Here is a 17,628-nt window from a genome sequence, read left to right on the forward strand (position 1 = left end):
TTTCTTTTTTGGATTGGATAGGGGAAGTGGTGGGGAAGAGGTGGTGTTAGAGAGAGGAGGGATGGAAATGTCATGTTCAGAGTTGTTGCTGTTAGTTTTTTCTTTAAAGGTATATGTGCAAACAATTAATTGAACTTGATTTAATTAATCCAAGAGTATAAGTAGGCAGGAAGAAACTTACTCATTACATTGGAAACTATTGGACATTGTTATACTCACAGTATGACTTTCTTTCCAAGGATTATAGCCTCTCTTTTTATTTTCAAGAGCAGTGGGCTTTTAGGCTGGGCTCAGTGGCTCATGCCTGTAATCCCAGCACTTTGAGAGGCTGAGGCAGGCGGATCACCTGAAGTCAGGAGTTCAAGATCAGCCTGGCCAACGTGGTGAAACTCCGTCTCTACTAAAAATACACAAATTAGCTGGACATGGTGGTGGGGGCCTGTAATCCCAGCTACTTGGGAGGCTGAGGCAGGAGAATTGCTTGAACCTGGAAGGTGGAGGTTGCAGTGAGTTGAGGTCGTGCCATTGCACTCCAGCTTGGGCAACAAGAGTGAAATTCCATCTCGAAAAAAAAAAAAAAAAAAAGCAGTGGGTGCCGGGCGTGGTGGCTCACACCTGTAATCCCAGCACTTTGGGAGGCCGGGGCGGGCGGATCACAAGGTCAAGAGATCAAGACCATCCTGGCCAACATGGTGAAACCCCGTCTCTACTAAAAATACAAAAATTAGCTGGGTGTGGTGTTGCATGCCTGTAATCCCAGCTACTTGGGAGGCTGAGGTAGGAGAATCACTTGAACCTGGGACGCGGAGGTTGCAGTGAGCCCAGATTATGCCACTGCACTCCAGCATTGCGACAGAGCAAGACTCTGTCTCGGAAAAAAAAAAGAAAAAGAAAAAGAAAAAAAAAGAAAAAAAAAAAAAAGCAGTGGGCTTTTGTGGAATGACGCCAATAGAGATCTGGGCCAGGAGGCCTGTTCTGAGCTAATCACCTCATTTATGGGTGTTGGAATCCACAAAGCCAGAGGTTGAGGGGGAGCCTGTGTTGGCCCAACAGAGTACAGCTGTTTTCTGTCACCCCAAGAATAAAAAATGATGGCCTTAACTCTTGGATACCATCCCACGGACTCCCCCTGTTTTGTTTTTCAACAGAAAACATCCTGTTTCATCATGCATATTTAGTAGAATAATTCAAATATGCCTCATAGAAATAATTAATACTTTTTCTTACCCCGAGAGTAGCCAGAGATGATGACACTATTTTTTAGTACCCACGGGGTATAAATTAAGAAGATTAATGCTCCCTGCATGTTCTTAGACAGATGTGAGAAAGATATATGTATAAAGTATTATTTTCCATGATTCTCTCTTGATCAAATAATTCTCTTCCTCTTCTTTCATTTTGAGAGCTCTAAGATTGCTTGCAATTATCTGCTTTTGGGGGAAATGGGAGAATATTGTTTTTTATATACTTGCTGAGATCCACAAAGTAGGAAAATATTCTTTATAGAGTCCTGTAACAATTCCTAATTTTATCAGATAGTCTGGAGCAATGGCTCCCAAACATTTTTTGACCTTGAACTTCAGTAAGATATGTATTTTTCTTGATAACCCAGAACATAAAAATACACACATACATGACCAGAGGGGAACACAGAAGTTCGCTTTAGACTCAAATTTTTTCCAAAATCTACCATTAAGCTTTGGATAACTGGCCAAATGGTGGAATGCCAACTTTATTTGGCACACCAAGACTTCTGCTTGAGCAAGGATTATAGAGTGCATCGGTAACCCTCATGCCTCATCACTTTAGCAGCATCAGTAATGCAAACAAGGCATGACATATGGATTTACTGTTACCTTAATATTCACTTTGAAGGTTGGGCCTGGTGGCTCATACCTGTAATCCCTACACTTTGGGAGGCCGAGGTGGGAGGATTGCTTGAAGCCACGAGTTTGAGATCAGCCTGGGCAACATGACTCCCGTCTCTACAAAAAATGAGCTGGGTGTGGTGGTGCATACCTGTAATCCCAGCTACTTAGGAGGCTGAGGCAGGAGGATCTCTTGAGCCTGAGAGGTTGAAGCTGCAGTGAGCTATGATTGCACCACTGTACTCCAACCTGGGTGACAGTGAGACCCTGTCTCTCAAATAAATAAATAAATAAATTAATTAATTAATCAAAGAAAAAAGAAAAAGAAAAAATTTGCTTTGGAAACAAGTAATTTCTCTAAATGTAACAGTTACAATGTGTGCCTTTCTGATTTGCCTTTTGTGGAGGTGGCATGACCAGGGTAACTTTTTTTTTTAATTCCTAGGACTGAAATCATTTTCTTCAATTTTTCCCCAAGAAAATTTTCAATATTAATATATTGAAATTCTCTCAGTTGAATGTATAAATGATTATTCATTGTTGGAGGAGTAAATTATTTTAATAATTAATGATGATAATGAGTCCGAATTTTAAGTATGAAAATTATTATATAAAGAGTAAAAATTACAGGCATAGATTGAGAATTAATGTTGAGAGAGTGTGATTGCTAGTAATTCTGGGGAATCCATTGTATTCTTTGTGGGACTACTTTCAGTGACATTATATCATCATCATTAAGCAAATATTCAGGCCCAGGAGATGAAGAGATTAAGTCTTGACCTCAGTTGGTTCCTATCAGGGAGGAAGGATAGCTTACTAATGTGCTGGCAGCGTCACTTCCGGCAGCAGTGACTCTGGCAGAGCTAGCGCAAGAACATCTTGCTTTTTCTACAGACCTTGTTTTAGAGAGAGGATTTGTTTAGTTTTACAGAAGTCCCATCAGGCTGCAGTTAACAGTACCAAGGAATTACCATTTCTGCCCTTTTATATCAAACTTTTAAAGTGAGTCTACCGGAATTTTAGTAATAAGAGTGTAATTTTAATTATTTTTTTGGATAAAATCTCAGGTTTATTCTTTTTTTTTTTTTTTTGGGTGGAGTCTCACTCTCTTGCCCAGGCTAGAGTGCAATCTTGGCTCACTGCAGCCTCCACCTGCTGTGTTCAAGAGATTCTCCTGCCTCAGCCTCCCAACTAGCTGGGATTACAGGTGCCCGCCAACACGCCCGGCTAGTTTTTGTATTTTTAGTAGAGATGAGGTTTCACCGTGTCGGCCAGCTGTTCTCCAACTCCTGATCTCAAGTGATCTGCCCGCCTCCACCTCCCAAAGTGCTGGGATTACAGGCATGAGCCGCCATGCCCGGCCAGGTTTCAGATTTATTCTTGTATCCCAGTAGTTCATTCTGTTAAAGCCACATTTGGCTTTGGCAAATATTAATTTTAGCATTTGGTCATTTGGCATTAGGCCAAAAAATGTGTATTTGGTAAATTTATTAATTAAATATCCATCTACCTGTCCATGCCCAATAAGACAAAATTTCACAAAACTGTAATTTCTTCTATTATGTATAGTGTACACTGGTCTTTCTGACCCATTTAATTTTCTTAAAGTCAACTAAATTAGTTTCTCAATCTACTAATAGGTCATGACCTTCAGTTTAAAAGTGTTGAGGTGACTCACTGTGTTCTGGGATTAGTGAAACAGTGAGGAGGGGTTATTTTTGTATGCAATATTTTCTTCCTACGGAAGATGACCGGAAGGGATTTCTAGTTATGTTCCACTCCCAAAAATGCAACTTAAGGTCTCAAGGCATGTTAAGACTAGTAACAATGAATTAATGCTACCACCAAACAATTTTCTATAGTGGCTGTACTAATTTATGCTCCCACTAGCAGTATCTGGGAATTCTATTTGTTCTATAATGCTTAGCAATGCTGGTATTGTTTTTAAATTAATAGACTATTTTTTTTAGAGCAGTTTTAGTTTTACAGCAAAATTGAGTGGAAGGTACAGAGATTTCTCATATACCCCTGCTGCCACACATGTGTAGCCCCTCCATTATCAACATCCCTCACCAGATACAGCATTCTTAAAAAGACATTTGTTAGAATTGATGAATCTTCATTGATGCATCAATGCATCATCATCATCCAGAATCCATAGTTTATGTTAGGGTTTGCTCTTGTTGATGTGGTTTCCATGGGTTTGGACAAATGCGTAATGGCAGTGATACTCTAATAAACCATTAGAGTATCATACAGAGTCGTTTCACTGCCCTAAACATCCACTGTACACTGCCTTTTCAACTGTACCTCCCCCAACCCTTGACAACCACTGATCTTTTTACTGTTTCCATAGTTTTGCCTTTTCCAGAATGTCATATAGTTGGAATCATGTAGTACATAGCCTTTTCATGTTGACTTTTCACTTAGTAATACGCATTTTAGTTTCCTCCATGTCTTTTCATGGCTTGATAGCTCATTTCTCTTTAGTGCTGAATAATATCCCATTGTCTGAATACACCACAGTTGATTTATCCCATTGTCAGTATTTTTCACTTTAGCCATCAGAGTGAGTATGTAGTAGTTATCATAGCCATTGTAAGTGAAGCCCATCTAAGTGTCTCACACTTCTTAACATTCTTAAAAAGACATAAGTGAAATAGTCTATCTATTACAGATGGCCAGGGGCTGATATTTTAAATAGTCATTCCTCTTGCTGTTTATCGTATATCTGTGTATCTGTCTCTTATAGTGAGCAGTTTCTTTCTTTTTTTTTTTTTGAGACAAGATTTCACTCTGTCATCCAGGCTGGAGTGCAGTGGTGCAGTCATGGCTCACTGCAGCCTTGACCTCCTGGGTTCAAGTAGTCCTCCCACTTCAGCCTCCTGAATAGCTGGGACTATGGGTGTGTACCAACCGCAACCACACCTGGCTAATTTTTAAATTTTTTTTGTAGAGCTGGGGTCTCATTGTGTTGCCCATGCTGGTCTTGAACTCTTGGGCTCAAGCAGTCCTCCACTTTGGCCTCCCAAAGTGCTGGGATTACAGGTGTGAGCCACCGTGCCCGGCCCCAATCCCTTTTTAATGATATCTGAGTGGCTTTCTTTAGAGGCTTCTCCAGTTTTTCACCAACAGGAAATAAAATAGATTAGAAATTCTTTGCTCAAATTTGTAAGCCCCAGGCCCGCCTAAGTGCTGTTTCAGGGCCTCAAAAATGAGCTGACACATACTCTGTTTGCATAACTTAGAGCAGAAATTTCACCTAGTTACCCTTTGCCTGTAGAATATCCTGTTGCAGAACCCTTCTCTCTGCCTTTGCCCTGCCTCTACCACTATGAACAGGGATTCATTTATGGAAGTCTAGGGTCATCCCAACTCCAGAGGAAAATACAGTGTTTGGCTGATGACTAATGGACTCACCCTTCTCTTCAGGGACTGGGTGGGGTTGGACAGAACAGAGAAGGGTGGGACTGGCAAGGTGAGGAGCCAGTGAAGTGAGCCAGCAGGTGCACCGCTGCTGCTGCTGTGCTGATCTTGCTTACGTGAAGAGACCAGCCCTGCTTAGATCCTTAGTGCTAATACGTGCAGGTTCATGCAAGGTTCACCTAAAGCCTCAGACAAAAGATTGGGCCTCGTTTTAACCTTAACTCAGTTGAATTCCAGGGTAATTTCAGGTTATTTATATAGTCTTCTGAGCTCCATTTTTCCTCTTTGTTATATGTCACTAGACTTTGATGAGACAATGATCAAGCTTGAGGGAGCCCGAGGAAAGCATCTAACTTAGCCTCCTTGCATACACAAGAACAAGTAAACTTGGAATTGATCAGTACTTCCTCTTGGTGATCTATTAAGATGTTTACTGCTTTTTTTTTTTTTTTTTTTTTTTTTTTTTTGAGGCGGAGTTTCTCCCTGTTCCCCAGGTTGGAGTACAATGGTGTGATCTCGGCTCACTACCACCTCCGCCTCCTGGGTTTAAGCGATTCTCCTGCCTCAGCCTCCTGAGTAGCTGGGATTACAGGTGTGTGCCACCACGCCCAGCTAATTTTTTGTATCTTTAGTAGAGGTGGGGTTTCACCAAGTTAGCCAGGCTGGTCTGGAACTCCTGACCTTGTGATCTGCCCACCTCAGCCTGGCTGGGATTACAGGCATGAGCCACCGCACTCAGCCTACTGCTTTTTTTTTTTTTTTAAGGATGTTTGCAGGGAAGATAATATGAAACACAGAGTACTCTAATTTCTTCCCCTTGATACTCTGTAAATGTATAGACCTATAGAACATTGCTCAAAATTGAAATAAATATGATGTAAAATGATCAATTAATTCAGTATTATTATTATTGTTTTCTCGACAAGAACAGTATCCAGGGTTGTTAAACAGTAATCATAAAAGTCATCTGTGTTTCTTCTTTATGCATTTCTTTCATATTCTGAGGCTATTTCTATTGCCTTCTTTCATTTCCATTTGACTCAATTTTGAGGATGGAATAAATTAATCCCAGAACTTTTATAATGTATGGATGAAAAGGGACAAGAGGCTAATGTCCCAACATTAAGCAATAAATAAGGTTGTGTATGTAAAAGTGTTTTCTACAACAGATAGAATATTCATTTGCATAATAGCCTAAGGAGTTGCCTGCTGTTCACTGTTTAGTATAAATCAAAATGCAAATAAATCTCCCACTTTCAGTTGTGAACATTTTAAGTAATATGATCATGAAAGATACAATTACAAAAATCAGTGGTTTAGTCACATCCACATATTTGTTTTCAGGTTCTGTAATTTTTGTTGAATTTCACCTAAACCCATTTAGTTCGCATGGGATCTTGTTTCCAAAATTAGCCATAACACATCTCATCGCTGCCTTCCCTCAAAGGAACAAGAAAGTTCTATCGTTATTGATTTTGGTCACAAGTGGACTGCTTCCTTGTATAACTTCTCTTTGGAAAGTTCGAAGTAATCAAGATAACTAATCTCTGCTCTCAGAGAGACAATCTAGTCAGCAGAAAATACTGTATTTCTCCTGGCAGCTCCTCCTTCCGCTTGGTGTTTCCTTTCTTCAGTCTATATGAGTGAAAAACAAACTCCAGACCCAAAAAATTTCTACTTTTGTGTGTGCCTATTAAGCCCCTCCTAGTAGAGCAGGAGAGATGTGGCCCTGGAATTCTGATGGTGAAAAGAGTGTTTTCTGGTAACAGGGATCTGAGCTGCTCTTCTATATTAAGATGTTTAGAAGAATGATTCCTCCTCCCAATCCCAAATCACACTGTTACTGTTTTCGTTGATTATAAAGGTAATACACACTTGGCGTAATGAATGTAAACAGTAAATGTCAAGTAGAATATGATGCCCCCGCAATTGGTGCTCTCATTCAATGGCTGTGTGTGTTTTGTTGACATAAACAGGATGGTACTTGCCTACTGTTATAAACCTGCTTTTTTGTGTGTAGATTATATTCTATGTCAGTGTCTGTGGTTCTGTCTGCAATATTCTTTTTTTTTTTTCTGTCTCTTTTTTTTTTGATACAGAGTCTTGCTCTCTCGCCCAAGCTGGAGTGCAGTGGTGCAATCTTGGCTCACTGCAACCTCCGCCTTCTGGGTTCAAGCCATCCTCCCACCTCAGCCTCCCCAGTAACTGGTACTACAAGTGCATGTCATCATGCCTGGCTAATTTTTGTATTTCTTGTAGAGATGGGGTTTTGCTATGTTGTCCAGGCTGGGCAACCCTTTTTGTTAATGGACAAGTAAAAATTGTATACATTATGGTGTACAACATGATGTTTTGATAGCATACATTGTGGAATGACTAAATCAAGCTAATTAACATGTGTTACCTTACATTATATTTTTGTGGTGAGAACACTTCAAATCTACTCTCAGCATTTTCAAGTACATAATACATTGTTATTAACTGTAGTCACCGTGATGTACAATAGATCTCTTGAACTTGTTCCTGCTGTCTAACAGAAATTTGTGTTCTTTAACCAGCATCCCCCCAAGTCTCCCTACCCGCCAGCCTCTGGCAACCACTATATTACTGTCTGTTTCTATGAGTTCAACATTTTTAGATCCCACCTATGTGAGTGAAATCATGCAGTTTTTGTCTCTCCATGCCTGGCTAATTCACAAAACATAATGTTCTTCAGGTTCATTAATGTTGTCACAAATGACAGGATTTCTTTCTGTTTTAAGACTGAATAGTATTCTATTGTGTGTGTGTGTGTGTGTGTATGTATCACATTTTAAAAATTCATTCTGCCGTTGATGGACACTTAGGTTGATCTCCTATGTTGGCTATTGTGAATAATGTGCAGCATTCTGTTTAAGATGACTGTGTCTTGTGGACAAATCAGAGTGTATTTACATAATCCCCTTTTAATGGACATTAAGTCAATCCATTTTCTGATGTTCTAAACCTGCAACATGAGGGAAATTAACTAAAATAATATTAAAAATCAATTTATCAGTCACATGAACCATTCTTCTCGTGCCCAGAAGCTACATGTGACTAGCACAGATACAGAACTTTTCTATTATTGTGTGAAGTTATGTCAGACAGTACTGTTGTAAACTACTGGTTTCAGACTTTTAAATTTTTATTTAATATTAATTTTTTTTTTTTTTTTGAGACAGGGTCTCTCTCTGTCACCCAGGCTGGAGTGCAGTGGTGCAATCTCAGCTCACTGCAACCTCCACCTCCTGGGTTCAGGCAATTCTCATGACACCCACCTCTTGAGTAGCTGGGACTACAGGTGTGTGCCACCAAGCCTGGCTAATTTTTGTATTTTTAGTAGAGATGGGGTTTTGCCATGTTGGCCAGGCTGGGCTCGAACTCCTGGCCTCAAGCAGTCCACCTGCCTTGGCCTCCCAAAGTGCTGGGATTACAGGCATGAGCCACCATGCCTGGCCTCAGACTTTTTAAAATTCATGCTTCCATCTATTCCTTTCTTCATGCTTCATTCATTCCATAAATAATTAATTATTGAGTGCCTTGTATGTGCCAGGCACTGTGGTAGGCACTCGGGTGTCTCATTCATAAAACAACAAAAATACTTGTCTTCTTAATGCTTACAATTGATCCACAAAAGGTTTTTGAGTATTCAGTCTATATAAACGCATGTGGATTTATAAGTTGTATGTATATTATTCTATGGTGTTATATCATAAAACATGTTCAAATAGGAATAGAAAAGAATAAGAAAGATAAAAATGTAAATAATTTCTGAAGTAGTCTTCCCGTATCCCACCTTGGAGGCCACTGTTCTGCATTATTTTCTTGTCCTAGATAACCATCTTCTAGAACTAGAAGATAACATTCTTCTAGTGCTGCAACTGAGCTTTTATTTATTATTATTATATTATTTTGAGGCAGAGTCTTGCTCTGTTGCCCAGGCTGGAGTGTAGTGGCGTGATCTCAGCTCACTGCAACCTCCAACTCCTGGGTTCAGGCTATTCTCCTGCCTCAGCCTCCTGAGTAGCAAGGACTACAGGTGCACGCCATCATGCCCGGCAAATTTTTATCTTTAATAGAGATGGGGTTTCACCATGTTGGCCAGACTGGTCTCGAACACCTGACCTCAAGTGATCCACTTGTCTTGGCCTCCCAAAGCTTTTAAATAGCTATCAAATAGATAGTCCCTCTATTTTGATATCTGTTCTAAATCTATTTATTTTATTAAAAGAGGACCCCCCCTTTTTTTGTTTTTTTTTTGTTTTTTGTTTTTTTTTGCTATCTATAGGCTTTTTTCCTATACTGTTTGGGTTTGTTAATTTACTTATTTACAGCTGGCCTTCTGTATCCACTGGTTCCACATCTACAGATTCAACCAACTGTGAATCAAATATATTCAGGAAAAATACTAAAAAATAACAATATTGTTCAGGCATGGTGGCTCATGCCTGTAATCCCAGCACTTTGGGAGTCTCAGGCAGGCAGATCGCTTGAAGTCAGGAGTTGGAGACCAGCCTGGCCAACATGGCGAAACCCCATCTCTACTAAAAATATAAAAATTAGCTGGGTATGGTGGCAGGTGCCCGTAGTCCCAGTCACTCTGGAGGCTGAGGCAGGAGAATCTCTTGAACCTGGGAGGTGGAGGTTCCAGTGAGCTGAGATTGTGCCACTGCACTCCAGCCTGGGCGAAAGAGTGAGAATCTGTTTCAAATAATAATAATTATTATTATAATAATACAATAATACAAATAAAAATTACAATATAACTATTTACATAGTATGTACATTGCATTAAGTATAATAAGTAATCTAAAGATGATTTCAAGTATATGGGAGGATGTATATATGTGCAAATACTATGCCATTTTATATAAAGGTCTTGAACATCCATGGATTTTGGTATCCATCGTGGTTCTAGAACCGGTGCCCTTGGATACTGAGGGATGATTATACTCATTTAGCAAACATTTATTAAGTTCTACTATGTACCAGTTAGGTGCTGGGAAATTGACCAAGTTAGAGTTCCTGCCCTCAAATGAGACAGGTAGCAAATCAGTGATTATAGTCCGGAGTGTCATGGAAATGCAGTCTACGAAGAGAGAAAGGAGGAAGTATTGTTTGGCAGGAAGGAGGACAACTCAGGCATGTGACCTTGTTGCCTCTTTTCTGTTTTGGGACTTAATGGAATCATAGGTTTCTCCAATGGGTCCTTTTTTTTTTTTTTTTTTTCCTCCGTGGTATTTTCTTTTCTTTTGGAATATATAGAATTCCAACCCACTGATTTAAGAATATTAAACCAGTGTAGATTATCACATTAAGGATTTGTTTATGTTAAGATGGTCATGTTTATATTTTTAAACTTAGATCTCAGGGTTGGAAGGACTCTGTATAGGACAGAACCTAAGCACAAATAATTATGTAGCTCCTTGCTGTTAGAAGGAAGCAAAGTCATTTTTCAGAGGTGTGTGTCTGTTCTTACATTCACTTAAGAAATATTAAAAAATATCTCCTATGTGGAAAAGGCACTCAATTCTGAAATACCATTCTCCCACAGGCTTTTTTTTTCTTGGATAGAGATATTTCAGTCAGTGTTTTTATAATGACAGTAGTTGCTGCTGCTACTTATATATTTTTCTATGTAGTCACATTGATATATAATGATATGTTTTTAAAATTTATTTTATGATTGACAGATAATTGTACATATTCATGGGCTACATAGTGATGTTTTAATACATATAATGTATAGTGATCAGATCAGGATAATTAGCATTTCATCATCTTAAACATTTATCATTTCTTTGTATTGGGAAATTTAATATCTTCCTGCTAGCTGTTTGAACTATATAATAATTGTTAGCTATGGCCATCTTATGGTGGTATAGAACACTGGAACTTATTCGTCCTATCTAGGTGTGATTTTGTATCCTTTAGGAAATCTCTCCCTGTCCTTCCTTTCTCTCTACCCTTTCCAGCCTCTAGTATCCTCTGTTCTACTTGATCACATGGGTTTTTAATTAGGGAATTCTGAAGGATATAATGGATAATGCTATTAAGAGCAAATTCAGGAATGAAAAATTCAGTTGTTGTTTTTTCTTCCTTTTTTAGGGCAAGTTAAAGTCTTCAGAGCCCTGTATACGTTTGAACCCAGAACTGTAAGTGTTCAGTTTTTAACTTCTAAAATTGACAGAAAAACCTAAGATGATTTTATTTAGACATTTCCTCTGGTGTGAATGGTCTGCCTTTTCTTTGATAGACCTAGGTAATTCTCAGGAATGGATGTTGGGTCCAGAGCTGTGCAAGTTAAGTCCCAGGCTGATTTGCATGTCTTCTGCATCTTGAGGTCATGTCTGTCTTGTAAAGCTTCTCCCTACATGGTGACACCACCTGCTTTCAAATTGACAAGTGACTTGCATATAAAGCACAGCGACCCTGTCTTAGTCATCTTTCTTCTGAATTTCATACTAACCTTCCTTCATTCTCCTCTTGACCCTCTACCTCAAAATAGCTCATAATGATACCTACTGCTAACCTTCCAGAACAATTTTTTATTCCTCTGCAGTGTGCATTTTCCATTGTTGTAGTTTCCGGTATCCGTCCATTTATCTGTGGTTTATTAAGCGCCTATTATATGCCAGACACTGGTCCAGGCCTTGTGACTAGTGCAGGGACAACAGAAAGGATGGTCTCGTAGAGCTTGCATCCAGTGGAGAGAGACAGAGAGTAACAGACAAATGAATGTGACTGTCAGGGGCTAAGTACTCTGGAGAAAAATAAGGAGGGTTAGGAGCAAAGAAGTTAATGGAGAAAAGAGTGCTGTCTTCAATAGCATGTTCAGAGATGGCCTTTCTATAAAGGTGGCATCTGGGGAGAGACCTGAAGGAAGTGAGGGAGCAACAAGTGCAAGCAGCATCTTTGGTGGATGCTAGAATAGAAAAAGCAGGGAAGACAGCATGGCTTGGAAAGTTGCAAACATGGGAGAGGGTAGTGGGAGACTACTTCCGAGAGTTGGGGTGGACTGGAAGGGCAGAGCATTTAGGGCCTGTGGATCTCATTTGGATTTTGCTCTGGGTAAGATTGGAGGTGAGTAGATGGTTTTGATACAGGAGTGACTAGACGGTGAAGCAGGGAGTCGAGACAGTTAGGAAGGAAAGGAAAGAAACCAAGAAGATTTCTTGGGGAGAAGGGGTGTATGAGTCTGTTTTCACTCTGCTGATAAAGACATACCTGAGACTGGGTAATGTATAGAGAAAAAGAGGATTATCGGACTCACAGTCATGGCGGAAGGCGAAAGGCATGTCTTACATGGCAGCAGACAAGAGAGAATGAGAACCAAGTGAAAGGGGAAACCCCTTATAAAATCAACACATCTTGTGAGACTTATTCACTACCACGAGAACAATATGGGGGAAATTGCTCCCATGATTCAATTATCTCCCACCAGGTGCCTCCCACAACACATGGGGATTATGGGACCTACAATTCAAGGTGAGATTTGGGTGGGGACACAGCAAAACCATATCAAGGGGAAACCTGCTATCATTGACTTTTCTCTCATATATGCTAGGGACCAGAGCTTTCTCTCTGTGGGCAGTCAGCTTGCTGCCCGCTTCACCTGGGTTTGCCCCAGACCCTGCTGTCCCCAAAGTTAGAGGCAACTCAGAAGGTCACACAGAACAAGTGACACTGAGCATCAGTTCACTGCCATCAGGCCAGGGCCTGCCTTCAAATCCCAAATCTGTCTTTTACTTACTGCGTGAATTTTCTTACCTCACTGCCATTGATTCCTCATGTGAAAGTGGGGATACCATTCTGCAGTGGAACCATGCTGTGAGCATGGAGTGGGGTGAATATTGAAGGCCTACCACATGGTGAGCACCAAAAAATAGTAGCCACTAATAGACTAACATGGGGGTGTGCATATTCAGACAGTTCTCCCAAGACTTTGTCCATGAAATGTTTCTGGAGCAAGAAAGGTAGGGTTTTTATTCTTCTCACCAAGAGATTCCACTGACAACTCTCCTGTGTTGGTGAGGGATTGGGAATGGGTAGAGTTAGTTTACTGAGCCTGCTATAACAAAGTTCTACAGACTGGGTGATTTAACCAAAAGAAGTTTATTTTCTCACAATTCCAGGAGCTAGAAGACTGAGATCAAGGTGTCGGCAGGATTGGTTTCTTCTGAGGCCTTGCTTCTTGGCTTGTAGATGTCAGACTTCTCTCCATGTCTTCTTATGGTCTTTCCTCTGAATGTCTGTGTTTTCATTTCCTCTTCTTATAAAGATGTGAGTCGCTGGGCACGGTGGCTCACGCCTGTAATCCCAGCACTTTGGGAGGCTGAGGCGGGTGGATCACGAGGTCAGAAGATCGAGGCCATCCTGGCCAACATGGTGAAACCCATCTCTACTAAAAATACGAAAATTAGCTGGGTGTGGTGGTGTGCACCTGTAACCCCAGCTACTCGGGAGACCGAGGCAGGAGAATCACTTGAACCCAGGTGGCAGAGATTGCAGTGAGCTGAGATTGCGCCACTGCACTCCAGCCTGGCGACAGAGTGAGACTCCGTCTTAATAAAAAAAAAAAAAGATATGAGTCATTGGATTAGGGCTCACCCTAAAGACCTCATTTTAACTTAGTTAACTCTAAAGTCCTTATCTCCAAATACAGTCATATATGGAAGTACAGATGCTCTTCAACTTATGATGAACCCAATAAACTCATTGTAAGACAAAAAAATCCATAAGTCAAAAATGCATTTAATACCCCCATAAGCCCATCGTAAAGTTGACAAATTGTTAAGTTGGATCATCGTATGTCAGGGGCATCTGTACTGGGGGTTTGGACTCTAACGTAAGAATTTGAGGTAGGGAGAGGGCACAAAGAGCCCATAACAGGGAAGTGTGAGGCCCAGGGCTGTTGTCTTTAAGCCCTGCTCACGGGGAGCGCTGTCATTTTATGCCTCTGCTTGTCCTTATCAGTTGTGTCCTGATTGGTTGCATGACCCTGAGAGGGATAAAAGTGAGGGAGGTGAGGGGTGGTTAGGTGCCAGCCTGGGCCACTCAATGAATAGACCATTCTCTGCTGCCTCCTCGAATCTAGAATGGGACTTGCATTTACTTTGTTTTGAGACTGGAGGTGACTCTTGACTCTATCTCCTCTCTTCGTATGCTTCGTTGTCTTCGCCTTTGTCCTTTCTCACCGACCTCTTCCTTCCCCTTTGCTTCCTCATGACCTGGTTATGCCTTTCCTCACTGCCTACAGACTTAGCTCCTCCATTCCATCTGTCGTCTGAGCTAGATTGGCATTCCTCAAAGGTGGCTTTGCTTCCACCAACTGCTTCAACCTTTTATTTGACTAAAGATGTCATCCTATATAGTCCAGCCCCTATTCCAGCCCCGCTGTGCTCTGCTCCTTCCTGTTCTTGAACTATCCCATCTAGATGTGACTCACAGTAGAACCTATCTCTCAACCCTTTCTAGACCCATGGCCCTGTCCCTTCCAAGCTGACATTAAATACTTCCTCTTCTGTAAAGACTTTTCTGACCACTCCAGCTGGAGGTGGACTGCCTCTCCTGCCTCTGAACTTCCACACGTGGTATTTCAGTCCTGCTCATAGACACAGCGTCTGAGGAAGCAGGGTAGCACTGGGTTCAGAGCCCGCACTAGGGTTCAGGACCAGCTCCACTTCTTGAGCAGCTGTGTGACCTTGAGGAAATTACTGAACCTCTCTGTCACAGTGTTCTCATCTGTAAAGTGAGGATAATAATAGTCCCACCAGGTTTTAGTGAGAATTAAATGAGATTAATTGCCTAAAGCTGCTTTTACTATTAAGGAGTAATTGTTACTATCGAAGGAATAGTGGTTGCTATATTAATAGACATTTAACAGATATTTTTGATGGGTTGTGTATTGATTTATTTACTTCCAATTCTACTCTAAGATGGAGTTTCTCCACTGCTTTTAAAAAAATCTTAGTTATTATTGAATATACAGGAGAATATACATTTAATTCTTTAGGCTTTAAAAAATATTCTATATTTAAAATGTTGTATTTTTAATATTTTTAGTCCCAAGGATTATAGGCTACAGTCAGTAATGACCACTTCAAGCCCTGTTGCCTCTATATTTCTCCCCTGTTCAGCTCCGTTCAATTCAGGTATGAAGGGGGTAGCATCTGGTACAGCAGGTAGCCTCTAGCTCCCACAGACCTTCCTGACTGGTTAAGTGCCATGCCATACCCATTGTTAAATTTTGAATCTCATTCCAGAACTAGGTTAGTCTTATCTTCTTTTTCTGAATGAGAATTTCTGTTGGAAGCTGTTTGGTCTCTCTCTCTCCCCTCTGACCAGCAGCCATCTTCTCTGGAGGGATAGATACACCACAGCATATCCTAAGCTGACCTGGCCTCCTCGAAATCACTGGGACCAGGCAATATTGAAAGGCTGAGGTGGGCTCTGAGGGACATTGCTGGCATGTGCAGCTCCCCAGGCAGGCCTGGGTCCAGTTTTAAGCTCCTGTTCCCCCTCAGGAGATGGGGACAGCAATGCGCAACCCCAGTCTTGGGGATCCATTGAACAGGAAGAACGCTAGGTAGCTCCTGGTTCTTCCTGCCAACCCATTTCTCATTTGTCTTGCTTAAAGGCAAGGGTGTCTTGGCACCACCCAGCCCCATTTGGTTCTTTTTTCTCACCCAGCTCCTTTTAATAAAGTGTCAACCACGGACCTGGCTGGACTGAATTGACGAGTGTCAAGACAGACTGATGAGGAGGGAACAGAATTTCCTGTGTTAAGAGGAGCATTGATTTCCAAAGGGAAACCAGCAGGACCCTGCTCTGTCATGTAAAGGTTGCTGGGCTGCACTAGGTTAATAGAGCCACGTGTAGAGGAAGGAGACTGGGAATCTAAGAGCTGAGATAGGAGCCCAGCCCTGCCACTCACTCTGATTTGTAGAGAGTTTTTAACTTCTCTAAGCCTGGTTGTGAAATAGAGATTATATCCATGACCCATCCAAGCCTAGTGAGTTGTGAGGACCAAATGAGGTCAAGTATACTTTGCAAGTAAAATATGCTGCCATTGGTTTTGTTATACTGTACTATAGGGGTAGGGCAGTTGGGAGTGTATACAGACAGATATTTTCCAAGGTGGCCAGCTGTTAATCTGGTCATGACACCATGATGGCCAATAATGGCTGTGTGTGATGCCTTTTGTATGAGAGAAAGCACAGGTGGTGGGTAAGAGCAGGGACTTCGTAATCTGACTTATAGTTCAAGTCCAGGTTCTACCATGTACCTGCTCTATGGCCTTGGAGAGGTTTCTCATCTGTAACATGATGATAAGAATAGCACCCACTTCATAGTGTTCTTGGTGAGGAACAAATTAGTTAATATTTCTGAATGCCCAGACCAGTACGTGGCACATAATATATACTATAAAGTGTTGAATAAAAACATCTGTGGAGAATTTGTTTTCTCTTTTTATTAATTTTGGGGGCTTCAGACTGACAAATCTTAAAAATTTCAAAAGTATATCAGTTTTTCTAAACTTTTCATAAAATATATTTGCATAAACCAACAAAATTAATGCCTTGGGAATTATATGTTACCAAGAATATATGGAATGGGAATATATGTTACCAAGTGTGTACTCTTTGCTGTAACATCCCAGTGGACAACAGCCTACTTATTCTGATACCTTGCTGTTCTTCAAGGAGAGAGGAAAGGAGGAATGTAGTTAAAAAACAAAGAAAGGCCGGGCGCAGTGGCTCACGCCTGTAATCCCAGCACTCTGGGAGGCCGAGGCGGGTGGATCACGAGGTCAGGAGATCGAGACCATCCTGGCTAACACGGTGAAACCCCGTCTCTACTAAAAATACAAAAAAATCAGCCGGGCGAGGTGGCAGGCACCTGTAGTCCCAGCTACTCCGGAGGCTGAGGCAGGAGAATGGCGTGAACCCTTGGGGGGCGGAGCCTGCAGAGAGCCGAGATCGTGCCACTGCACTCCAACCTGGGCGACAGTGAGACTCCGTCTCAAAAAAACAAAAAAACAAAAAACAAAAAACAAAGAAAAGCTGGAAACAGAGAAGTGCATACTTCATTATGTTATTGTTTTCCCATTTCTGTTCCCTAACTGTGATGCTGGGAATTTAAAAGTAGGTGCTCATTGAACAATTTAGATCAGGTATCCTGCTAGTGGTTTCTTAATGGAAAATGTGAATATTGCAGGTGAAATCTGTTGTTAAAATAATGAAATTACCGTGTTGTATGTACTGCCACCAACACTGTGAAGAATTTGGTACTTAGCTAGATTAGGAAAACG

At 41.1% G+C, this 17,628-nt stretch overlaps 1 protein-coding gene across 6 annotated transcripts in view; it reads left to right on the forward strand.

Annotated features, from left to right (window-relative positions):
* The window catches only part of OSTF1 (osteoclast stimulating factor 1), a 58,752-nt gene that overhangs the window by 17,567 nt on the left and 23,557 nt on the right, over positions 1-17,628 (forward strand). For 5 of the 6 annotated variants that reach the window (XM_006717053.4, XM_011518525.4, XM_011518524.3 and 2 more), the window contains exon 2: positions 11,424-11,470. The exons of the other annotated variant lie outside the window; for it this stretch is intronic. In XM_006717053.4, coding sequence (XP_006717116.1) covers positions 11,424-11,470 — 47 coding nt within the window. The remainder of the gene's footprint in view (positions 1-11,423; positions 11,471-17,628) is intronic. 6 annotated transcript variants of the gene reach the window in all.

Source organism: Homo sapiens, chromosome 9 (assembly GCF_000001405.40).
Source record: "Homo sapiens chromosome 9, GRCh38.p14 Primary Assembly".
NCBI classification, from domain to species: domain Eukaryota; kingdom Metazoa; phylum Chordata; class Mammalia; order Primates; family Hominidae; genus Homo; species Homo sapiens.